Raw genomic sequence first — 26,155 nt, 5'->3', positions numbered from 1 at the left:
GGCTTTCCAAATCTGGAAGAAAAAATAAACAACCATGTATAGTAAGTTCAGAAGTTTCTAATAAATTCTACCCAAAGAAAACTACACGTTGGTAGTCAAATGATAATAAACTGTCAAACATCAAAGACCAAGATAGAATCTTGAAAGCAGCAAGAGAAAAGAAGATCCTCATATACCAGGGAACTTCTAACCAGCTATTAGCAGATTTCTCCGCAGAAATGTTGTAAACCAGAGGAGAGCAGAATGATATAGACAAAGTGCTAAAAGAAAAAAAAAACTATTAAATAAGAACACTTTACTCAGCATAGCTGTCCTTCAGGGATGAAGAAAGGATAAAGACTTACCCAGACAAAACAAAGCTGAGACTTCTTCACCATTACAACTGCCTTACAAGAAATACAAAAGGGAGTTCTTCAAGCTGAAATAAAAAGTCACTAGCTAGTAACATGAAAACATATAAAAGTATTAAAAACAGTGGTAAAATGAAGTACATAGTCCAGTTCAAATACTTTAATACTGTAAAGGTAGTGTGTAAATGACTTATAACTACAGCATAAAGGGACCAGGCATGGTGGCTCATACCTGAATTCCCAGCACTTTGGGAGGCCAAGGCAGGAGGATTACTTGCACTCAGGAGCTCAAAATCAGCCTGGGCAACATGGTGAGACCTCATCTCTTCCAGAAATTTTTTAAAAAGTAGCTAGTCATGATGGTGCACACCTGTAGTCCCAGCTACTTGGGAGGCTGAAGTGGAAGCATCGCTTGAACCTGGAAGTTCAGGGCTGCAATGTGCTATAATCTCACCATGGCATTCCAGCCTGGGCAATAAAGCAGTGAGATTCTGTCTCAAAAAAAAAAAACCCTCCAGTATAAGGGTTAAAAGGCAAAATTATTTTTTAAAAAACTGTAGCTACGATAACTTAATGGATACACAAAATAAAAAGATATAAACTGTGACATCAAAAATATAAATTGGGGGGAGTAAATGTGAAATGCTTTTGTATGCAATTAACATTATCAGCTAAAATAGACTTATGTAACTAAAAGATGTTCCATGCAAGCCTCATGATGGTCACAAAACAAAAATATATAGTAGATACACAAAAATATACAGATAAAGAAATCAAAAGATAAAGAGTAAGGAATCAAAGTATATCACTACTGAAAACCACCAAATCACAAAAGGAGAACAACCACAAAAGACAAAGAAAGGAACAAAGCATCTACCAAAAAAATAAGAAAACATTTAACAAAATGATGATAGTAAGTCTTATTACCTTAAATGTATGTGGATTAAATTCTCAAATCAAAAGACATAGCATGGCTGAATGGATTTTTTTTTAAATACCCAACTAAATGCTGCCTACAAAAGATTCACATTAGCTTTAAGAACACACAGACTGAAAGTGAATGAGGTGAAAAAGGGTTTTCCATGCAAAGAGACCAGGGGTAACTACACTTACATAAAAATAGACTTTAAGTCAAAAATTGTAAAAAGAAAAAAAAATACAAGTCCATTACATATGATGAAGGGGTCAATTCAACAAGAGAATATAGTGGCTGTAAATAGATATGTACTGAATAATAGAGCACCAAAATATACAAAACAAATATTAATTGATCTGAAGGAAAAGATAGATAGCAATATAATAAAAATAAAGACTTCAATACCTCAGTATTAACAATGGGTAGATCATTCAGACATAAAATCAATAAGGAAACATTGACATTAAACTACACTACAGACCAAATAGACTAACAGTTATATACAGAACATTCTATTCACCCAATAGCAGGAGAATACACATACTTATCTAGTGCACATGAAACATTCTGTAGCATAGATTATACGTTAGATCACAAAACAATTCTTAGCAATTTTAAGAAGATTGAAATCTTAGCAAGTGTACTTTACAACCACAATGGTATGAAACTAGAAATCAATAATGGGCAGAAAACTAAAAAAATCACAAAATGTGGAAATTAAACAACATGCTCCTGAACAACCAATGGGTCCAACAAGAAATAAAAAGGGAAATTTAAAAATATCTTAAAACAAATGCAAATGGCAAGACAACATAGCAAAACTTATGGGATTCAGCAAAAGGAGTTCTAAGAGGAAATGTATAGTAATAAACACCCATATTAAAATAAGAAGAATGATCTGAAATACACAGCCTAATATTACACCTAAAGTAACTAGAAAAAGAAGAATCAACTAAGGTTAAAGTTAGTAAAAAGGATGGAAATAACAAAGATCAGAGTCTAAATAAATGAAATCGAGACTAGAAAAACAAAATAAATGATAGAAAAACTAAGTTCGTTCTTCAAAAAAAAATAACCAAAATCAATAAACCATTAGCTAGACTAAGAAAAAAAAAGAGACAACTCAAACAAATAAAATCAGAAATAAAAAAGGAAACATTACAACTGATACAATAGGAACACGAAGCATGATAAGACACTGCTATACACCAATAAATTGGATAATCTAGAAGAAATGCATAAATTCCTAGACATATACTACCTACTAACAATAAATCATGAAGAAAAAGAACATCTAAATAGATTAATAACAAGTAAGTAGATTGAATCAGTAACCAAAAATCTATTATCAAAGAAAAGCCTAGGGCTTGATGGCTTCACTGGTGAATTCCATGAAACATTTAAAGAATAACTAATATCATTCCGTCTCAAACTGAAAAATTCAAGACTTCCAAACTCACTTTATGAGGTCAGCATTGCCCTCATACCAAAGACAAACAAGGACACTACAAGCAAAAAAAAATTATAGGACAATATTTCTAATGAATATGAATGCTAAAATCTTCAACAGAATTTGGAATTTAGCATTTATGTTCACTAGGAATATAGGCCTGTAATTAGCAAAATAAAGGATAAAAATTATGTAATCATCTCAATAGATGCAGAAAAAGCTTCCAACAAAATTCAATATCCCTTTATGACAAAGACTCTCAATAAATTAGATATACAAGGAAACTCAACAGAATAAATGTCATATGTAACAAGCCCACAGCTAACATCATACTCAATGGTGAAAAGCTGAAAACCATTCCTCTAAAATCAAGAATAAGGCAAGCATGCCCACTCTCACCACTTCTATTCAAGATAGTACTGGAAGTCCTCGCTAGAGCAAGTAAGCATGAAAAAAATACAAAAGGCATTCAAATTGAAAGGAATAGGTAAAATTGCCCCTGTTTGCAGCTGACATGATCTGACATGTAGAAAATCCTAAAGATGCTACACAAAAAAACCTAATAAACCAATTTTTTAAAGTTGCATGATACAAAATCAACATACAAAAATCAGTTTTTAATGTCTATACACTAATAACAAACTATCTGAAAGGACATTAATAAAACAATTCCTTTTACAATAGCACCAAAAATAATAAAATACTCAGGAATAAATTTAACCAAGGAAGTAAAAGATCTGTACCCTAAAAACTATAAAAATTGATAAGAGAAATTAAAGAAGACATAAGTAAATGGAAAGATATGCCATGTTTATGAATCAGAGGAATCAGTATTGTCAGAATGTCCATACTATCCAAAATGATCTATAGATTCAGTGCAATCACTATCAAAATTTTAATGCCATTTTTTACTGAAATAGAAAAACAATCCTAAAATTTGCATGAAACCACAAAACACTGTGAATAGCTAAAGCAATCTTGAGCAAGAAGAATAAAGCTGGAGACATTACACTTCCTAATTTTACATTATATTACAAAGTGATAGTAATTAGAACAGTATGGTATTGGCATAAAAACAGACACATAGACCAAAGAAACAGAATAGAATGCCCAGAAATAAACTTACACATATACAGTCAACTAATCTTTGATAAAGATATCAAATATCCAATGGAGAAAAGATAGTCTCTTCAGTAAATGGTGCCGGAAAAACTGGATATTCACATGCAAAAGAAAGAAACTGGACCCTTATCTTTCACCATATACAAAAGTCAACTTAAAATGGATTAAATACTTAGACAAAAGACCTGAAACTGTAAAACTACTAAAAGAAAACACAGAGGAAAAGCTTCACGACATTGATCTTGGCAATGAATTTTTTAATATGATACCAAAAACATAGGCAACAAAAACAAAAACAAGTAAGTGTGTGAACCCCGAATATCTGAGACAGGTCTCTGTTAATTTAGAAAGTTTATTTTGCCAAGATTGAGGATGTGCGCCCATCACACAGCCTCAGGATGTCCTGACAACTTGTGCCCAAACCACAGTTTAGTTTTATACATTTTAGGGAGACAGGAGACATCAATCAACATATGTAAGATAAACATTGGTTCGGTCTGAAAAGGTGGGACAACTAAAAGCGAGGAGGGGCTTCCAGATTATAGGTAGACAAGAGACAAATGATTGCATTATTTGGAGTTTCTGATTAGCCTTTCCAAAGGAGGCAATCAGATATGCATTTATCTCAGTGAGCGAGGGGCGACTTTGAATAGAATGGGAGGCAGTTTTGCCCTAAGTAGTTCCCAGCTTGACTTTTCCCTTTAGCTTAGAGATTTGGGGGCCCCAAGATTTATTTTCCTTTCACAAGTGGTACTACATCAAGCTAAAAGTTTCTGCATGACAAAGGAAATAATCAACAAAATGAAAAGATGACCCATATAATGGGAGAAAGTATTTGCAAACCACGTATCCAGTAGAGTTAATATTCCAAAACACATAGGAAACTACTACAACTCAACAAGAAAAAACTAAATTACCAAATTTTAAAGATGGGCAAAGGACCCGAAGAAACATTTTTCAAAAGAAGACACAAATGACCAACAGGTATATGAAAAAGTGCTCAACATCACTAGTCATCTGGGGAATGCAAATCAAAACCACAGTGAGGTATCACCTCACGTCTGTCAGGATGGCTATTATCAAAAAGTCAAAAAGACACCAAGTATTAGTGAGGATGTCACAAAAAGGGAACTTATATATTGTTGGTGGGAATGTAAATTGGTATGGCTATTATGGAAAACAGTATGGAGCTTCCTCAAGAAAATTAAAAATAGATTTACCATATAATACAGAAATCCCACTTCTCACTATACTATTCTGAGGAAATAAATCACTATCTCCAAGAGATACTGGCACTCCCATGCTCATTACAGAATTATTCACAAGAGCCAAGATAGGAAAACAACTTAAGTGTTCATCAACAGATGAATGGATAAAGAAAATGTGATAGGTGATAGAGAGAGAGAGAGAGAGAAAGATGATGGATGGATGGATGGATGGATGGATAGATAGATATAATGGAGTATTACTTGGCCTTTAAAAATAAGGAAATCCTGCCATTTGTGGCAACATGGTAAAATGGAGGACATTATGCTAAGTGAAATAAGCCAGACACAGAAAGACAAAATACTGAATGATCTCATTTACATGCGGAATCCCAAAATGTCAAACTCCTAGAAACAGAGAGTAGAAGGGAGGTTACCAGGGGTTAGTGACAGTGGTGGGTGGGGCCGCAGGGATCCGAAGATGTTAAAGGTTACAACCTTGCAGCCATGAGATGAATAATTTCTGGAGACCTATGGTGTAGCATGAGGAACTATAGTTAATAATAAAAATATTCTTGAAATTTTCTAAGAGAGTATATTTTATGTGTCCTCACCACACACACACACACACACACACACACACACACACACACAAATGGTAACTATATGAGGTGGTGAATATATTAATTAGCTTGAGTGTGGTAAGCACTTCACATTGTTTATGTACATCAAACATTACATTTTACCCCTTTAATATGTACAATTTTTATTAGACAATTATATGTCAATAAAGCTAAAAAAACTATAATATCCATATGTATTTTCTCACCTGCCTTATAAAATTTCTTGTTATATAAATTCTGATCTTAACATTTCCATTTATTCTTATACTTCTCAGGAACTGCCGTCCATTGGTGCACAATACGACCTATGCACACTTTGGAGAGTGAAGCTTTAATTTGCCTAATGGCTGCTGTCCACCCAAACTCTTTTATGTATTTGTATCAAATATAGCACAAATATGTATTTATTCTGCCAAAAGGCTTCAGGTTGAATAGTCTTATTTTGTTGTTGACATTTTCAAATCCTATCTTGAAGCCTTTCTACAAAAAAGGAAAGAGATAGCAAAAAACAAGTTTTAATGCCTAGTTATGGCTAGTCTTTTAAATAAAAATGAAAATTCGAAACTCTAAAATAAACATCCTTCTTAGTCTCTTTATATGAGCTATAGGGAAAAAAAAGAAAGAAATATATCTGAATCTGTAAATGAGTCAGAAATGCTCAGAAATATGTTTCATTTCATAATGCCTAGCATTTTTAGAAATCAAATTAGTGAACACCTGTGCCATGGAAGATTTATATATTAGAGTTCATGCTGCAACTACAGTTTCCCTACAATATCAATTTCAAATGACAACCTGTGGTTTTGTGCCACAGCATTTGTCTCAGCATTTGTCAAAAGTCATTTCATTTCCTATGATTCATTTCATTTATATTCTGGTGTATTAACTGGATACTTTATTGATCCTTGCTCCATCTAATTGTGGCTTTCACAACACAGACAAAAATTTGATTTGAAAGATAAGTATTATAATCTACTCACCGGTAACAGTGATGACATTAACAAAATTATGTTTAGGTAGGTTGTAGTATTGAGGTGAGTTAAAAAGAGTTCTGATTTCAGAATAAAAATGTAGTCTTTTTCCATATATTCCCATCTTCTTATTTATGTGCAAATATATAATTAAGAGATGATATAAATGCTCCACAAATCAGAACATGTCATCACATTTTTACTTTCCTGATTAATAGTTTAAGCACTATTTGCCACATTAGCAGAAAATACAGTATTCATTTATACAATAAATATTCATTGAGTCACTACTATGTGTCGGTCATTGTTCTATGCGCGGGACACATCAATAAACAAAATGAGCAGGAATTTCTACTTCCAGTTAGCTTACATTCTCCTAGATCTTTCTTTAGAGGCAAACTTATCCTTACATTACCCAAGAACGTAATAGCTTTCTCAGCCCAAATATGAGAATGCAGTCCAACTTCTATATCCAAGCAAAAAGAAACTTTACTCTTCTAACAGTGTTACTAATGCCACTGCTTCTTGCTGGCACATGGGAGCTAATACCCCTAGTCCCCTTTCAAGAGATGATGCTGATTCTGATGCTGGTTTTGGTGCTGGTCATCGGGGCTGGTATTCATTCTGTTCCCACAGAGGAACCAAGTAGACCTTAAAGAGAGGATAACCCAACTCTTTCTGAATTAGACCAAGACAGAACAGGCCTTTCTATCTCCCTTAGTCACCCATCCTTAGCCTGTCCGAAGGGGCAAGCCCAGGAGCAGTGTGCTTAGTTTCCTCCCTTTGTAGACCCTAAGCCACTGTCACTTTTTCCTTCTAAGGAATCAACTTCCTCAAAGATCAAGCAGGTATTCCTTTCCATCTGGGAAACACAGAGTCTGATTACATCTCTCTTCTTACATAATGGAAGTATTCTCTTCACCCTCCAGAGGGCATTACACTGTTCATTCATCCATCCATTCATCCATTCACACACACCTACTCTGTGTCAAATGCTACTCTCAGCTCCAGCTGCATCCAGGAAGACCCTTTGTCAGGAAACTGCCTTCATATCCACAAAGGACAACAAGTTCTGATAGTTCTCTCCCTAGAATGAAGGGGAGGAAAACACCTCATAGGACCTTTAGCTGGGCATCCATCCTATTACATATGTGAGTGGATTATAAACAATAAAAAACTGATTAATATTTTAAAATATCCAGGTGATAATAAGCACTATAACAATGGAAATTATTATCTATTTCATTATCAAAACAATCCAGGCAGGTGCAGTGGCTCACGCCTGTAATCCCAGCACTTTGGGAGGCTTAGGTGGGTGGATCACCTCAGGTCAGGAGTTCAAGACCAGCCTGGCCAACATGGTGAAACCCAGTCTCTACTAAAAAAAAAAAAAATACAAAAATTACCTGGGCATGGTGGCGGATGCCTGTAATCCCAGCTACTTGGGAGGCTGAGGCAGGAGAATCGCTTGAACCCAGGAGGCAGAGGTTGCAGTGAGCCGAGATCATGCCATTGCACTCCAGCCTGGGTGACAAAAGCGAAATTCTGCCTCAAAAAAAAAAAATCCATGAGTAAGTGTGAACTTTAAGAATTATTTTAGCAAGAAAATATACCTGAATTCTCAAATAAGCCACCTTGTAGCTGTTGGTTTTATTTTATATTTTCCAAAACCCTGTGTAAACTACCCTCTACCAACATGAAAAAACAACCAAACAACAAAACAATCTAACCAGCCATGGATACTACTCAACCATAAAAAGGAATGAAATAATGGCATTTGCAGCAACCTGGAAGGAATTGGAGACCATTGCTTTAAGTGAAGTAACTCAGGGATGGAAAACCAAACATCATAAGTTGTCACTCATAAGTAGGAGCTAAGCTGTGAGGATGCAAAGACATAAGAATGACACAATGGACTTTGGAGACTGCGGGGGGAATGCTGGGTGGAGATGAGGAATAAAAGACTACAAATTAGGTACAGTGTATACTGCTCGGGTGATGGGGGCACCAAAATCTCAGAAATCACCACAAAAGAACTTATTCATGTAACCAAACACTACCTGTTCCCAAAAACACCTATGGAAATAAAACATAAAAACAAAACTCATCAGGTATTCATTTCTTAAGATTTTCCACTTAGGACAAATTATTGACTCAGAGCGTTAGAAGAGTCTTTAGCCGGATGAGTTCATGTCCTTTGTAGGGACATGGATGAGGCTGGAACCACCATTCTGAGCAAACTATCGCAAGCACAGAAAACCAAACACCGCATGTTCTCACTCATAGGTGGGAATTGAACAATGAGAACACTTGGACACAGGGTGGGGAACATCACCCACTGGGCCTGTCGTGGGGTGGGGGGAGGGGGAGGGCTAGCATTGGGAGATATACCTAATGTAAATGATGAGTTAATGGGTGCAGCACACCAACATGGCAGATGTATACATATGTAACAAACCTGCACGTTGTGCACATGTACCCTGGAACTTAAAGTATAATACAAAAAATAAAAATAATAATAATAAAAAAGTCCTTAGCCTTAGTAAGATCCACGCTTAGCCTCTGAATCCCCTTGGCCACATTTAAATGGCTATTGGCCTATACTCAGTACCTCCAAGTTCAGGCCACTCTCTTCCCCTTGAGTCACCCTCGCCCTAATTCACTTTTAATAGCTCTGACAGTAACAAGCATTTCACATGGTACTGTACCATCTGTCTCCTGTAGCTTCAAGCTACTGGTACTAAACAATGTATTTTTGACTTATATAATTCTTCTTTTCAATGACAAGCACTGAAATATGTGAAAAGTTTTGAATCTCCATTTTTTTCTCTTGCAACTATCCTCAAATGATATTGTTTCCAGTCCATAAATAAAGTCACTATTCTGAACATACCTTGGTTTGTCCATGTCTCTCTTAAAGAGTAATGCCAATACTCTTGTTATCCAGAATTTACACATCTAAGAATTTTCTTTAGGGAAATGTTCAGGAATATAAGCAAATGTTTATCTGTAATAATGTGCATCATAGCATTACTTCTAATATTTAAGAATAATAGTGTAGTATACCTATATGATAAATTTTAAAAGTGTTTGAATAGACAACAGAATGTCACTTAACTGAGAAACTGAGATATGTTGTCAAGTGGGGATAAAAGATGACAAAACAAAATGTGATCATATGTACATATGTATTTATGTGTGTGTGCATATATCTGAAAGAAGACATAACAAAATGTTAATGATTCTATCCGATCAGCGGGGTTATAGATTATTTTTAATTGATGTATTTTTCTGTGCTTTCTAGATTTTCTACAGTGATAATATATTACTTTGTAATAAAAATAATCAATGTTATTTTTGAAAGAAAAGCATATTGCTAAAACCTGAAAGCAGTTCCCAGGTGTGGCCTGATCAACTCACAAGAGGAGGATTACACCCACTCACTCACTCAAATTCACTTCCACTAATATTGTTTAACATATTGATGTTTCTGCTGCTACATTACAGTTGATTCATTTGAGAATATTCTTCTTTATAGCCCCTAAGACATTTTCACAAACATTACTGCTAAATCTGTAGCATCTTGTTCTTAAAGATTAGATGGGGTTTTTTGTCTTGTTAGTTGTAATTTATAAGTTTTATCCTTAAAATAATGGATCCCATTACTGCCACCTCAATCTCCACCAGTCCCACTGAACCTCTACCATGCCCAACCTGGAAATGCTCAGGACCACTCTCAGAAACAGGTGAACAGGTGGGTGTGGATCTGAGTGAGGTGATCACCACCAAAGTTCAACAATCAGGACAACAGAGTAGAGACTGGTGAGCATGTAAGAGGCAACACTGCCTATATCACACAGAAGGGCTGACAAGAAATTAAGGATAACTCAGCGACCTCAATGGTCAACACTTGTGAAATTACATCATCATCCAGAGTGATGTTCCCATATGCCTAACGAGATAGAAGGAACATGAGCTGTGCTCTAATTCTGCAAAAATTGTAACCAATATGCTTTCAGTTGTTGGGGTGGATCACATATTTACGATGGAGGTGCTTCTCAGATACATGAGAATCTCTCAAGTATCAAATCAAGTAAAAAATTACTCTTGGATACAGTTTTTGTTTTGTTTTGTTTTGTTTTGTTTTGAGACAGAGTCTCACTCTGTCATCCAGGCTGGAGTGCATTGGTGAAATCTCGGTTCACTGCAACTTTCACCTCCCAGGTTCAAGTGATTCTCTGTCTCAGCCTCCCAAGTAGCTGGGATTACAGGTGCTCGCCACCACGCCCGGCTAATTTTTTTGTATTTTTAGTAGAGACAGGGTTTCACCATGTTGACCAGGCTGCTCTTGAACTCCCGACCTCAGGTGATCCACCTGCCTCGGCCTTCCAAAGTGCTGGGATTACAGGCATGAGTCACTGCACCCGGCTGCAGAAAACCTCTTTTAAACATTCCTATGGATAACCCTAAACACTGCAGTGGATTCACGAAAAATATTATAGAATGAAAGAACTGTATCATTACTTCCCCTCATGCAACCGGTTCCAAAACTGTTACCTAATGCAGGTAAACAAATTCAATGCTGAATTCACTTTGAGTGATAAAGGGAGAAAGAAAGTCAATGGATGGATAGGGTGGTTTTGTTTGGTGATCTTAAAAGTGTGTGACTATCCTCATGAATAAAAAGGCTGACAAATGTAGCCAATATGTCACACTGTAGACAGGCTATTCTTAGCTGGAATCATGAAAGTTTAAGATATTCTTGCTCATGAAGACTTCTCTGTCTAGTTATTTTCAGAATAAATAAGGCTGCCTTAAGCCTGTCAATGTCAAAAATACAGTTTCCAAAGAGACAAAATGAAAGTTCAGGATTCAGGCTGTTGCTATTTTAATGATCTTGATAAGCTGATCTAGAACTCACAGAGAGAGATTTATGCCTTACCTATTTAACCATGTCTCACTGTAATACCAAATATTGTGTTTTGAACTATTATATTCTGTTACGTTTTTGCTTGTTTTTGTTTTGTCATACTTCTAATGTTAAGATTCAACAATGCTGTTAAACAGAAAAACCTTAGACCAAATTTAAATTTAACTGACTTTATTTGAGCAGAGGAAAGCAAAGCAAAGTAAAAACAGAATGAAAATGATTCACAAATCAGGCAGTCCTCTGAACCAGGGCAGGTTCAGAGAACTCCAACTAATAACATGATCTGACAGCATTTATAGGAAACAGAAGTACGGTGTACAGAAAACTGAATTGGATACAGCTTCATTGGTTAACTGGCTACGGAGCGTCCTGCAGTAACTAAAGCTCAGCTCCTGGAGTTCAACTTTATGTTGGTTTGGTCTGTCAGGCCTAGTGCAGGAACCTAGTTTATTTTGGTTAACAATACTAAAGTTATATATATATATATATATATATTATATATATAGTGCTTAATGTTTATCTCTATCACACTTCTTTTAGAGTTTGGTTCATCTTTCTATCATGTTAGGACCGCTTTCATCTGATTCTGTCATTTAGGGTTTTTTTTCATGAACCCTCTTAACTCTGTGTCATCCACATGTTTGGTGAGTGTGTCCTTCATATCTTTATCCAAATCCCTGATGAACGTATTGAACAGAATACGGGCCACAACAAGGCTCTGATATTTACCAGCAGAAAACATATCAGATTAGCAATGTGTGGTTCAATGTTCAGCCAGAAACTCATCAAGCTAATAGTATTACGATCCAACCCATAATTCTTCCTCTGTGTGATATCATATAACATCAACAAAAGACTTTACAGATGATATTGGACTTTTTCAAGAAATTAAGAAAGTAATCTTTTTGTTTCACACATAAACCAATGAACTCAGAAGTCAGAAATGTATTAAAACAGAGTTGAGCCCTACCTTAAGAGTAAAGGGACTTACAAAACCTTATTTGCATTTACTGTCTCAAGTAGGGAAATACTTACCCCAATGTATTCCCCTCCTGACCTGACACTTTATCATGGACCCATAGTATCCATTCTGCCCCATAAACAGGAATCAGACATAAGGAATCAAGTCTTATTCATCTCTATTTAGTCTACAATGCCTAGCATAGAATTTCATACACGATACTGTGGAGTTTACTTCATGACTTTCTTAGGTTAGGATGGTCCTAGCAAAACAGAAACTTCTGCCACACTGCTCATCCCATTAGAAGTCCAGTGGTCACTCGAGTTTACTATTTCATATGGTATTGCAGAAAGGAAACCTAGACATAGGTTTGCCAAAATATGTGTCATGCTCAAGGCATGGCGCAGAACACAGATTCCCCCATAACCAGATGATGAGGTAATTGGCTGATAATATCTCTGGGTGTAGGCAGGGATGTTGCTACTACTAGGCAGTCAATATCTTAGTCATTGATACTAGCTGTTATTGACTTTGAATGAAGCACGATCCTCCATTTAATAAAAATAATGACTATTTAATGAGGACAGCTGGCCCAGCTAGGTCATCCCTGAGCCACAGGTTTGGACACAAAGAATACACCCATTCCAGGTCATCAACCACGCTCAGACCTCTCAGGGGCATGAATACAGGCTCTCCCTAGCCAAGTCCATCCTTTTGCTGACTTCGTCCCCTCTTTAGTAGTCTCTTCCTGCTCTGCCCAAACTCTCATTATCCCTTCCATGCAAAAGACCTCATTCTCATTCTGCTTCTTTTCTCACAATAGAACTCAATGTGGCCTCCTTCCCCTGACAAACATTAGAAGCAACACAGAATGTATTTATCCTTTTCTAAGAGAGAGATCTTATATTTTTAGAAAAATTATCCTATCTATACACTCCAGTGGATAAACGATATCCTTTATATGTGTTAGGGAATTTTCATATTCCCTAAATATTCTTCTGAATACATCAGGAACAAATACTTGAGTGTTTACATCAAAACATAAGATGATTCTATGCTGCACACAAAACTAAATAATGTTTGTTCAGTGAATCAATGACTTTATATAATACTTTATATAAGATGTCATACTTTGTATAAGATCGTTACACAAGGTACTTTAGATATTAAAAGATACTGAAAGATATTTTATAGACATTATACATTTATATTTTATGTAAGATATTTATATCATCCTTTATATAAGATATTTTGGATCTGGTGCACTAAGAGGCCTATGGATGGGAGTGTAGATATGGTATACTGCCGAACACTTCTCAGAAAAGAAGAGCAAAAATGTTGAGACCTAGAAAGCAGTGAAATGGAATTAAGGAGTTCTGTTCTTCAATAAGCCAGAAATTTGAGGCAGGTGAATGAGGTTCAGGCAGAGAGCATAGGTTAGCAGGAGATTGGCACAAACATCCGAAAACAATGTATAAGTGTGGGGCAAAGATTCGGAAGAACTGTAAATCAAGTGTTGGGTCTAAGCCTAAAATACCGTCTCTGAATCCTACGGCTGAAAACAAGTGCGCGAGCGACACCTAGTGTTCAAGTCCATAAATGATGCTGCGTCAAGGCTTCCTTTCCTTTCCTGGAGCCCACGCTGCAAGGACCGCCCGCTCCTCGGTTAGGTACAACTCTCATCTGCGTACACAGCAGATACAAACCGCTATATTAGAAATTAAGGCCTTCAGAGAAGTCTTTAACCCATTCCATTTCATAGACCACCCACTCTTTTTAGATATTTCATAGCCCACCCACTCTTTTTAGATATTTCATAGCCCACCCACTCTTTTTAGATATGGGGAAACTGAATTCCCTGTATAGTTTTAGGAAAATGAATTGCCATTTCATAACGAGATATGTTTTCACCTCCTTAAGCTAGTTTCCACTCCCTCTAGAGCAAAACAAAGTATCAGCGAAGTTAAAAACATGGGATGTTCCAGGAGCAAAAGGCCTGGTGCAAGCAGATTGCTTTCTGGACAACTAATAACAATATCTAATCGTTATTGAGTCCCTTGTATGTACTAAATTTTGGACCAAAGAAACGGCAAATATCACCTCAAATGCTGACAGCAGTCCTGCCATTCAGGGATTATTATGCAGAAATTCTATGAGGAAACCGAAATTTGGAGGCTGTGAGTGATTTACCCAGACACATCTCTAAATTGCAGATTTAAATCCAGGACTGTCTTCCAAAACTCACATGCTTCCCATATGCCTCACTGCCTCTCAGCTGTGCATGCATCCCAGCTGAACCTATCTCAGCATAAAAAATTGGTGTAAAAGAAACATTTCACCATGAACATTTCATTACCTCTTTATTAGTGAGTCTTTTAGAGTTGAGCAACTAATTAATTCCACTTGATTTCTTACCCTCTAAATCAGTGTATATCAAACATCATTTTAATAGCTTTTATGATTTTTGAGCATTTATTTTTAAACTCATTTCCAAAAAATATTTAATATTTCGTCTCAAGTAAAGCTCCCTAATTTTCCAAAGAGGAATTAAGTTAATTTACATCACCTAAAGAAACATAGCAATATTAGCGGCACAACCAGGCTAAAAATAAATATTATAGTTAGTGTGTGTATGGCAGATGCACCTGACAGCAATAACTTAAGCACACCCTGACAATGACCATACAAAGAATGTGTGTTCAGAGTTCTGAGCTAAGGAATCTGGGAGTGGCCAACCCAGAGGTTCACTCCTTCTCTATGAAATCTCGGCCCCATCCCTTGGAATACAGGACGAACAGGGGATCGGAGCCCTTTGTTTTGAGTTAGATGTAGGTTGCTAGGTAGAGGGTGCTAAGTGAAAATGCTATATAAACTGCTGCATTTATGAACAGCAGCAGTTCTCCTGTCCAGCCTACCTCCACTGAACTGCCCCTGTATGTAAGTTACCCATAATAAACCCTATGTCTCGTTCACTGTCTCCAGGTGTCTTCTTTGGCCTCTCAGACACAGTGCCATCCCTGTTGGAGTCAATAGGGGTCCAGTCCAACAATTGCCAAGCCCAGCCAGGAGGTCAGAGAATATCCCATGAGTGCCAAAAGGATAGGATCAGGAAGGGGAGATCCTCAGGGGGAATCTCAGGCTGGCCATCTACATCTATGTGGGGCCCAATAGATGGATGGGTCCCACTGCCTGAGTATGAGGACACTCCAACAATGCCAAAGGATCTGGACAAGCTGTTGCAGGGGGTTAATCCAACTAAGCGAAAGTCAGATGCCCAAGCCATCACAGCCACACTTGGCTAGCCTCTCCTGACTGTGCTCCAAGCAGCCAGAGACTGAGTTTGTGGTACAGGCAAGGGTGACTCACTTATAAAATGGATGAGATTAGAAAGAGATACCAGCTTAGCTCAGGCTAAAACATTGGAGACCTTTGGGCGCAGGATGACAAAAGGTAAACCCTGGCTTGTCAGGTGGGTCATTCAGAGGGTCGCCAGCTGCCACATCAACAAGTCAGGGCTATTATGACTAAATAATTCTGGGACCCTAAGTCCTGGAACCCCATAGAGAGAAACTGTGAGAAGGACAGTGAGGACTGGGACAAGCCTATAGAGGTTCCTTTCCTCTCTTCATGTCCAGTTGTCACCACCAAGATAAAAGCAGACCAACTGTGCATACAGGGAGTAGCTCCACAAGACTTGCCCCCACCTGAAAGACTGCAGTGAACCCCAATGCAGGATTATACCACTAAAGAATTGGCAGAGCTGGGAAATTGGTTCAGATAGAAGGGGAGACAGTTGATCAAGGGATGGCTTCTCTGTCTATGGAACATGAAGACAGAGGGTATTATACTCTCCAGACTTGAGATAAGTAAAATGGCATCCCTCACAAACCACCCATCCCTGAGGCTGGCCTCTCCTTACCTGAGTGTTTGTGGGCTGTCAAGCAGTGACAATAGATATAGAGCTACAAGTTGAGGCCCTGGCTAAATCTATGGCTGCAGCCTTCAATGATACCTGCCATGCTATTACTCTTCTCACTAAAGAAACTACCCAAATTGGATGCCTTACTTTGCAAAACTGTATGGCCCTGGTCATCTTAACTGCCATCCAAGGCATAACTTGTGTGTTAATTAAAACTAAATGTTATGTATATATCCCTGATTACTCTCACAATGTAACCCAGGCCATGCAGTCCCTAAGTACCCATATATCTGCTATAGACTCCCTTGTCTTTTTTTCAAGATGGTGGATAGGAGGCAGAGTTATTGTGCCTCTCCCACTTGCAAGGACAGAATAGTCAGTAGAGAGTAACACTGTGAATTTCTTTTTTCAAGAGCCACCACAGAAACTTACCAGGAAAGAAGTGGCAGGCTGTAGTCTAGTCCATGAGACTGGCAAAAAACTAAATTCCCAGATTGCTAGAAGGGGAGAGAGTCTGCCTCCAAGCACTCATCCTGACCAAGGAATCTGCAAATCCAGACCACAGGAGAAGGCCATAACCCTATCCAAAGCTGGAATGGAATTGGGGAGCAGCATGCAATATACAAGTAGAAGCATCATCAGGAAGTACTTGTAGGCATTCCCAGTCTCCAGCATGAGCCTAGGGAAGACATTACTTACTAAATCTCACAGGGGTCCTCGGGGAAGTCAGGCAACATGCTTAGGGAAGAGTTGCAGGGTGAAAGAAGCTCCAAACTGAATTTTGTGACATAATCTCAAGTGGGGATGAATTCCCTTGAACAGAACCTGGAGTGGGACGGTGAGTGGGAAGTGAGCCACAGACACGAGCAGAGCTGGGCTCCCAGCCTTGCCAGCAGACATGGAGAAGCATGGCCTCAAAGCTGTGGTTTCTATCTCTGTGGGAAGCTTATGGCCTGGGGCAGGTCTGAGTTCTGTGCACAGACCGGGATCTAAACCCAGCGCTGTTAGTGGAGCACTGCAGGAGCAAGACCAGCCTCTCCAACTGCATGGGAGCTGGGTGAAGCTTACTGCTGCCCATGACTCCCCACTCCCTTTGTGAACTCTTCTGTGCAGCAGAGGTGCAGAGGCACAGAGGGGAGAGGCAGTTTTACTCTCCCCTCTGGAACATTGCCCCAGTGGCCTGAGAATGACTCTCCCCATAGGGGCTATGGCCTGCCCCACCCAGGAGTCTGAACTTAGACCCATGTAACCCTACCCCCACCTGGTGGTATGTCTCCACCAGCCCTGGTAGCTTAACACAAAGGATATAAACTTTTGGGAGCTTTATGGCCCCACCAATCACCTGAAAAAACAGATTACTTCCCCTGGGCAACTTACGGAAAGCTCAAATCCCACTGCTACTACTGCAGCTGGTGCTGTCTTGCAAGCACCACCTCCTGGCTAGAGGCCAACCAACTCAGGCCATTACAGTACCTCTAGCACTGCACCCAGGAAGGAGAAAATGGCTGCATGATCTCAGCTATCGCCACTGCCTGCAACACCCTGGCTAACCAGAGATCCTGAGTCTGTCCATGTCATGAGTTCACTACCAGTATAAGCAGCATTTAAGGAAGCCAGCCCAATAAGTTTGTCTCAAACCAAGGAATCTCACAGAGCCTACATCACTCCCCTTCCACCTTTGTCAGAGCAGGTGCTGGTATCCACTGCTGGGACATTTGAAGACAGGTCATATGACTGGATCTTTTGCAGATATTACCCAGCACCAGCAGAGAATCTGGTAGCCCCATTGGGTTGCTAGACCGAGAAGAGCAGTAACAATCATTGTAGTCTGGCTCCCAGGAAATCCCATTCCTAAGGGAAGGGGGAGAGCACCACATCAAGGGAACACCCTGTGGGACAAGAGACTCTGAATATCAGGACTTGAGTCCCAGATTGTTCCACTAGTGGAAAGTTTCTTACAACAGAGACACAATTGCAGTGCTGGACACAGTAGAGAAAGTCTGCACCTCTACCCCATCAGGCAGGCAGCCTCTGTGATCATAAAGGGTCTTGAAAAAGGGGTCCTTGTTCTCCCAGGCACACTACTGCGGAAATGGCTAGGGCTTCTCTCATAGGCATGCAGCATAGATGCACATACAGACAGCCTTCTTGAAACAATTCGGGTTGATTGCAGCCCCACAGGAGAAGCACTCTCCAGGTTCAGGACTGCACAAGAGGCAGAGTCATAATTCTTTTCTACTTGGAACATCAACATTTCTACAGATAAAAAGAGATGCCTGTCTGATCTGAGTAACCAGAACATTAGGACAGGAGTGTGGCTGTGGATAGCTTTTCTGCTGGCTTCACAGGAAAGATAAGGTAGCTCCCACCCTTCAACCTGATAAAACTTCAGCACATCTAATTGAGACCCCCCTACACCAGCCACCACCTTCATCAAGGCTGGGACCTCTACCCACCATTGGGTATTATATCTACACACCTGTTTTAGCTACAACTGGTGCCAAAAGAGGGATGCTTCCCCTATTTGCCTGAGGCCTAAATCATCAACTCAGTAAATAAAATACTGTGGGAAAGAAAGTTTCTGGGTGTCAATTGAGTTGGTCTCACCTGTGTGAGACACCCATGGGGAGCCATGGGTGGCCTCTGAGGAGAAAAGTCTCCTTATTGCCTTCATGTCTTTATGCCCCGAGAGCATAACCACTCAGCAGCATTCTGCAGGTTGCTCAGGGAGATAACACTCCCTTGAAGCAGTGGAGTATAATCAAACATCTTGGCTCCTCCTGAACCCCACTCCCACCTGTTTCAGTCCCGATAAGTTAAAGATCTTAAGTAGTTTAGACACATGCCTTTGCTCAATGAAATTCACAGAAACTGCCACTGCTATACATCTTATTGAATGACTCACGAGTTCTCCTTCACTGATTAATCCTTTTCCTCATCCTTCCTCCCCCTGCCATCTGCCCTAAGAACGAATTGCTTGTAAACCAATAAATTGTGCAGAGCCCAAGAGCTCTGGGCCATGAGCAAGCCTCCAAAGCCCCGGTCCCTTGGACCCGCCTTTAAAGTGCTTATTCTGTCTCTTTCTAACTCCTTTGTCTACGCTGGACTCAGAATACCCACTGGGTGGTGTGGGGCTGGTTTCCCCAACATCTGGCACCCAACACGGGGCTCCCTGTAATCTCTACAAATAATCCGGTGAAGAAACACCAAAATGTGGAAAGTGGAGGACGACCGACAAAGGACACCCGAGTATGTTTTCACTTCAGGTTCTACAGGTAAGTAGGGCACTGGGAGAATTCCAGGGTTACCTCAGGAAAGTATGGGTCAGGCTGAAAGTAAGCTTGCTAATTACTTAAGTCTAGTGTGGCAGTTATTGCACCATGGAGGGGTAATTGTGAGTACCCAAAATCTCACATCTTTGTTCCATCTCGTAGAAAAGTATTCTTCTTGGTTCCTGGAATATGGAACCATGAATGTAAAAGATTGGGACAAGGTCAGATCAGACTTAAAACGAGCACAACAAAAGGGCCACGATATTCCCTTCTCCACTTGGTCTGTGTGGTCAGCAATTAAAATAGCACTGGAGCCCTTCCACACTGAGGAGGAGGAGGATGAGTTTCAGGATGACATAGAAAAGTTTAATAATCAGGAGTCTGATGCTCAGCAAAGTGAACCATCACAGTCTAGTTTAAAAAAGGAGGAGAAACGGGAAGGTATATATGCTAACCTCCAAAAACTTAGGACAGAAAGAGTTCCACCTACTGCAGAAATAGTGCCACCTACTGCACCTTTAGGGGAAGGTCCAGAATGGCCACCCCCGCCTCAGCCTTACGAATTTTTGGAATGGGAGCCTGAGACGCGACTCACCACTCCCATTGTTGCAACCCCCACCATTAACTATGGTGAAGGGAAGCTTCAGCTCGCCCAACAGCCAATTAAAGTGAGGGAATGATCCAGGCTTGCCCACCTGTTAATTATGATAGAGGAATGCTGCAAGCCGGCCCAAATACAAATTATGGTGCAGGGACAATCAGGCATCCATTCACCAGGCACAAGAAATGGGGGATTTGGATGCTTGGCGGTTTCCAGTAATCATTTCGCCAGCTAAGGAGCCCAGAGAACATGCTCAAGCATGCTGGGAGCCATTTCCTTTTAAAATATTAAAAGACTTAAAACAAGCAATTGGACAATATGGGCCAAATTCTCCTTGTGTTCATTCCTTGTTACATTCTGTGGCTTATAACCGGCGTTTAATACCTATGGATTGGGAGTCATTAGCCCGATCCACACTGTCCCCCTCTGAATTTCTCCAATTTAAAACCTAGTGGATGGATGAAGCAACAAATCAGGCATGCAGGAGTGCTCAAGCCCAACCTCCCGTTAATATCACATCTGATCAATTGCTTGGAATCAGACAGGCATGGAGTACTCTAAATCAACAGATGGTAATGGGTGATGAGGCTGTTGATCAGCTCAGAACTATATGCCTAAGAGCCTGGGAAAAAATTCACAACCCTCATACTACTTATCCTTCTTTTAACTCAGTTCAAGAGGGTCCAAGGGAGCCTTATCCAGATTTTATTGCCCATTTGCAAGACGTGGCTCAAAAGGCTATTTTGGATTCTCATGCCAGGAAAGTGATTGTTCAGCTGCTTGCTTATGAAAATGCTAATACAGAATGTCAGGCAGCTATTAGACCTATTAAGGGAAAGGCAGATCTAAATGAGGAAAAAACTTTAAGTGAATACATTAAAGCCTGCGATGGCATTGGGGGGCGCTTATATAAGGCCAGTCTCCTTGCTCAGGCAATGGCTGGACTAAGGGTAACAAAAAACACATGAGTGTTCCCTGGATCTTGCTTTAATTGTGGACAGATAGGACATACAAAAAGAGAGTGTACAAAGAGCCAAAAAAGGCAAAACTCAGGAGGAAAAAGCAGGGAACCAGGTACCTTTCCTAGATGTAAAAAAGGAAAACACTGGGCTAATCAATGTCACTCAAAGTTTGATAATAGTGGACAGCCCTTGCCGGGAAATGGACAGAGGGGCCAGCCCCGGGCCCCAATTCAAAATGGGGCATTCTCAATTCAGGACATGATGTCCCCGACTCCAAATGGAGTGTTCCCAGCCCAGTCTATCCCTGTTACAAATGTAAAGCAATCATCCCCCTTCACAGCTAAAAGTGGGGCAGTAGATTTATGCTGTACCAAAGCTGTATCCCTCCTTCCTGGGGAGCCTCCTAGGAAGGTCCCAATGGGAGTTTACAGCCCATTGCCAAAAGGCACAGTGGGACTTATACTGGAAAGGTCCAGCTTAAACTTAAAGGAATTCAAGTACATACTGGAGTAGTGGACCCTGATTTCCAGGGAGAAATTCAAATTGTTATCTCTTCCACTGTTCCCTGGAGTGCTAATCCAGGTGACAGAATAGCTCAACTGTTGCTTTGATCGTATGTTAAGTTAGAAGACAAATCAGAAAAAAGAACAGGAGGATTTGGAAGCACAAATTCAGCAGGGGAGGCTGCCTGTTGGGTAAATCAAGTCTCTGACAAAAGATCTATTTGTAAGGTCATTATTCAAGGAAAATAACTTGAGGGTCTGGTCGACACAGGAGCAGATGTGTCAATCATAGCTCTTTATCAATGGCCAAAAAACTGGCCCAAACAAAAGGCCCCAGTGGGTCTTGTTGGGGTCAGAACTGCTTCAGAAGTTTTCCAAAGTACTTTTATCTTATTGGTCTTGGTCCAGAAGAACAGGAAGTCACAATAAAACCTGTAATTACACCCATTCCTGTTAACTTACAGGGGAGAGATCTGCTTCCACAATGGGGCACAGAAATTTCAATCTCTTCTCCCAGGTATGGTCAAGCTAGTCAAAAAATAATGTCAAACATGGGCTATGTTCCCAGAAAAGGCCTAGGAAAACAGGAGGCAGGCATTATTGAACCCATACAGGTTACTGTAAAAAATGACCGAAAAGGATTAGGTTGCCATTTTTAGGGGTGGTCACTGTTGAGCCTCCAAGTCCTATTCCCTTAAAATGGAAGACCTGAAATCCTGTTTGGGTCTAGCAGTGGCCATTTTCTCAGGAAAAATTGGGGGCCTTACAGGAATTAGTCAAAGAGCAATTAAACAAAGGAAACATTGAGCCCATATTTTCTCCATGGAATTCACCAGTGTTTGTAATAAAGAAAAAGTCTGGCAGATGGCACATGCTAACCAACTTACAAGTGGTCAATGCAGTCATCCAGCCAATGGGGGCCCTGCAGCCAGGGCTTCCATCCCCTACCATGATTCCTAGAGACTGGCCATTAATAATTATAGATTTGAAGGATTGCTTTTTTAATATTCCTCTAGTAGAGTCTGATTTTGAGAAATTTGCTTTTACTATTCCTGCTATGAACAACAAGGAACCAGCAGCCAGATATCACTGGAAAGTCCTGCCACAGGGTATGTTGAATAGTCCTACTGTTTGTCAAACTTCTGTGGGGAAGGCTATTCAACCTGTGAGAGATCAGTTTCCAGATTCGTATATCATTCATTATATGGATGACATATCGTGTGTGGCCAAAAATCAAGACCAACTTATCCAGTGTTACTCATATTTACAGGAGGTGGTAGCCAATGCTGGATTGCTCATGGCACCAGATAAAATTCAAACGGCCACTCCTTTCCAATATGTGGAATGCATGTTCAGGAAAAGGCAATTAAACCCCAAAAGGTTCAAATTCAAAAAGACTCTCTGAAAACTTAGATTTTCAAAAATTATTAGGGGATATCAATTGGATTCGACCTACTTTGGGAATCCCTACCTATGCTATGTCTAATCTGTTCTCTATTTTAAGAGTAGACCCTGCTTTCAATAGTAAATGAGAACTGACTCCTGAGGCTGCCAAAGAATTACAAATGATTGAAGAAAAAATACAGCAGTCCCAGGATAATAGAATAGACTCAAGTTTATCATTACAGCTCATTGTGTTCCCTACTCTCCATTCTCCTACAGGGGTTATAGTTCAGAGTGAGGACTTACTTGAATGGTCCGTCCTGCCTCAGAATACTGTCAGAACACTCACAGTATACTTGGATCAGATGGCAATCTTGATTGGACAAGCTCACCTTAGAGTTGTTAAACTTCGCGGTTCAGATCCAGATAACATTATAGTTCCAATGAATACAAATCAGATCGGCAAGCCTTTGTTAATTTGGTCAATTGGCAAATAAATTTAGCTGGCTTCATTGGAGTTCTTGACAATCACTATCCAAAAAAAATTTTTTTCAGTTTTTAAAGCTAACAACATGGGTCCTTCCAAAAATTACCCATTGTGCTCCATTGGAAGGAGCAGTGACTGTGTTTACAGATGGCTCTAGCCATGGAAAAGCAGCTTATGTGGGACCTAAAAACAGAATTATTCAAACTGACTTTCAATCGGCACAGAGGGCTGAATTACAGGCAGTTATAGCTGTGTTAGAAGACTTTAAGCAACCTGTAAATATTGTCTCTGATTCAGCTTATGTTGTTCAAGCCACTCAATACATAGAAACTGCACTCATTAAATATCTTGTGGATGAACAACTCTATCAGCTGTTTTCTTCTTTACAAAAGGCAGTGCGTGATCACTATTTTCCTTTCTATATCATGCACATTCGAGCATATACTAATCTCCCTGGGACCGTTGTAAGGGCTAACGATCAAGGTGATTTACTAGTTTCCACTGTGCTTACTAATGTCCAAGATTTTCACTCCCTAACACATGTTAATGCAGCAGGACTTAAACAAAAATATCAAATTACTTGGAGACAGGCAAAGGACATTGTGCAACATTGCCCTCAGTGCCAGGTACTACAACTGCCACATGCAGGGACTGGTGCTAACCCACAGGGATTAACCCCCAATATGTTGTGGCAAATGGACGTAACCCACGTACCTTCATTCGGGAAACTTCCATACGTCCATGTTACTATAGATACCTTTTCTCGTGTTGTATGGACAACTTGCCAAACAGGTGAGGCAGCAGCTCATATTAAGAAACATTTACTTTCCTGTTTCGCTGCCATAGGCATCCCACAAAAGATTAAAATAGACAATGGCCCAGGCTACTGTAGTAAATCTTTACAAGTGTTCCTCCAACAATGGCACACTGAGCACAGTACTGGAATACCCTATGATTCTCAAGGCCAAGCCATTGTTGAATGGGCTAACTAAACCTTAAAATCTCAATTACGAAAACAAAAGACAGAAGGGGGGATCCAGAGAATACTCTACTCCACATACACAGATACAACTGGCTCTTATTGAGAGGTGACAATGTGCTAGCAGCCCTCGCTTGCTCTCATCATCTCCTTGGCCTTGGAGTCCACTGTGGCCACACTCAAGGAGCCCTTCAGCCTGCTGCTGCACCATGAGGGCCCCTCTCTGGGGCAGGCCAAGGCCAGAGCCAGCTCTGTCTGCTCGCGGGGAGGTGTGGAGGGAAAGGCATGGGCAGGAGCCAGAGCTGTGTGCCGCGTTCACAGGCTGGTGTGGGTTCCAGGTGGGCATGGGCTCGGCAGGCCCCACACTCAGCACAGCCAGCTGGCGCCTGCTGGGCTTGATCTGGGGATGAGCTCCCTCTGGGCTGCCAGAGTGCCCAGGCTAGGTGCCGCTAAATCCCATGGCGAGTGCCACTGAGAGGTGAAGCTGGCTGGGCTTCTCGGACGGGTGAGGACTCAGAGAACTTTTCTGTCTAGCTAAAGGATTGTAAATGCACCAACCAGCACTCTGTGTCTAGCTAAAGGTTTGTAAACACCCCAATCAACACTCTATGTCTAGCTAATCTAGTGGGGACTTGGCGAACTTTTCTGTCTAGCTAAGGGATTGTTAATGCACCAATCAGCACTCTGTGCCTAGCTAAAGGTTTGTAAAGGCAGCAATCAGCACCCTGTCAAAACAGACCAATCAGCTCTCTGTAAAGTGGACCAATCAGCTCTCTGTAAAATGGACCAATCAGCAGGATGTGGCTGAGGTCAGATAAGGGAATAACAGCAGGCTGCCCCAGCCAGCAGCGGCAACCCACTCGGGTCCCGTTCCATGCTGTGGAAGCTTTGTTGTTTTGCTCTTCATATTCAATCTTGCTGCTGCTAACTCTTTGGGTCTGTGCTGCCTTTATGAGCTGTAACACTCACTGTAAAGGTCTGCAGCTTCATTCCTGAAGCCAGTGAGACCACGAACCCACTGGGAGGGATGAACAACTCTGGTTGGGAGGAACGAACAACTCCGGACATGCCACCTTTATGAACTGTAACACTCACTGCGAAGGTCTGCAGCTTCACTCCTGAGGCCAGTGAGTCCCCGAACCCACTGGAAGGAATGAACAACTCCAGACGTGCAGACTTTAAGAGCTATAACACTCACCGCATAGGTCTGCAGCTTCACTCCTGAAGTCACCGAGAACACAAACCCACCAGTAAGAAGAAACTCCAGACACCTCCAAACATCAGAAGGAAAAAACTCCAGACACACCATCTTTAAGAACTGTAACACTCACCGTGAGGGTCTGCGGCTTCATTCTTGAAGTCAGCAAGACCAAGAACCCACCAATTCCAGACACATTATCACTTTAAATTTTTTGGATTTGTCTAGAGATCAGGTTATAATGGCAGCAGAGCAGCATTTGACAGGGCAAAAAATAAATCCTCATGAAGGAAAACATGAGTGGTGGAAGGACGTCAGAACTA

The 26,155-nt window shown here is 40.3% G+C and overlaps 3 annotated features.

The window, feature by feature from the left end:
• Nucleotides 7,166-7,335: an enhancer, noted in NCBI's record as "experimental_76196 CRE fragment used in MPRA reporter constructs". NCBI's record gives its function as "activates a minimal promoter by MPRAs in K562 erythroleukemia cells, with activity observed for the introgressed 4:171066796 variant allele {active_cell/tissue: K562}" and the evidence as "EXISTENCE:reporter gene assay evidence [ECO:0000049][PMID:34662402]".
• Nucleotides 13,963-14,257: a silencer, noted in NCBI's record as "tiled region #13452; HepG2 Repressive non-DNase unmatched - State 12:CtcfO". NCBI's record gives its function as "represses a minimal TATA promoter and a strong SV40 promoter by Sharpr-MPRA in HepG2 cells {active_cell/tissue: HepG2}" and the evidence as "EXISTENCE:reporter gene assay evidence [ECO:0000049][PMID:27701403]".
• Nucleotides 14,043-14,192: a silencer, noted in NCBI's record as "silent region_15799". NCBI's record gives its function as "represses an Ori minimal core promoter by ATAC-STARR-seq in GM12878 lymphoblastoid cells {active_cell/tissue: GM12878}" and the evidence as "EXISTENCE:reporter gene assay evidence [ECO:0000049][PMID:35858748]".

This window comes from Homo sapiens, chromosome 4, assembly GCF_000001405.40.
Source record: "Homo sapiens chromosome 4, GRCh38.p14 Primary Assembly".
NCBI lineage: Eukaryota > Metazoa > Chordata > Mammalia > Primates > Hominidae > Homo > Homo sapiens.
The sequence above is the reverse complement of the archived record's forward strand: the minus strand, read 5'-3'. Positions and strand labels throughout refer to the sequence as shown.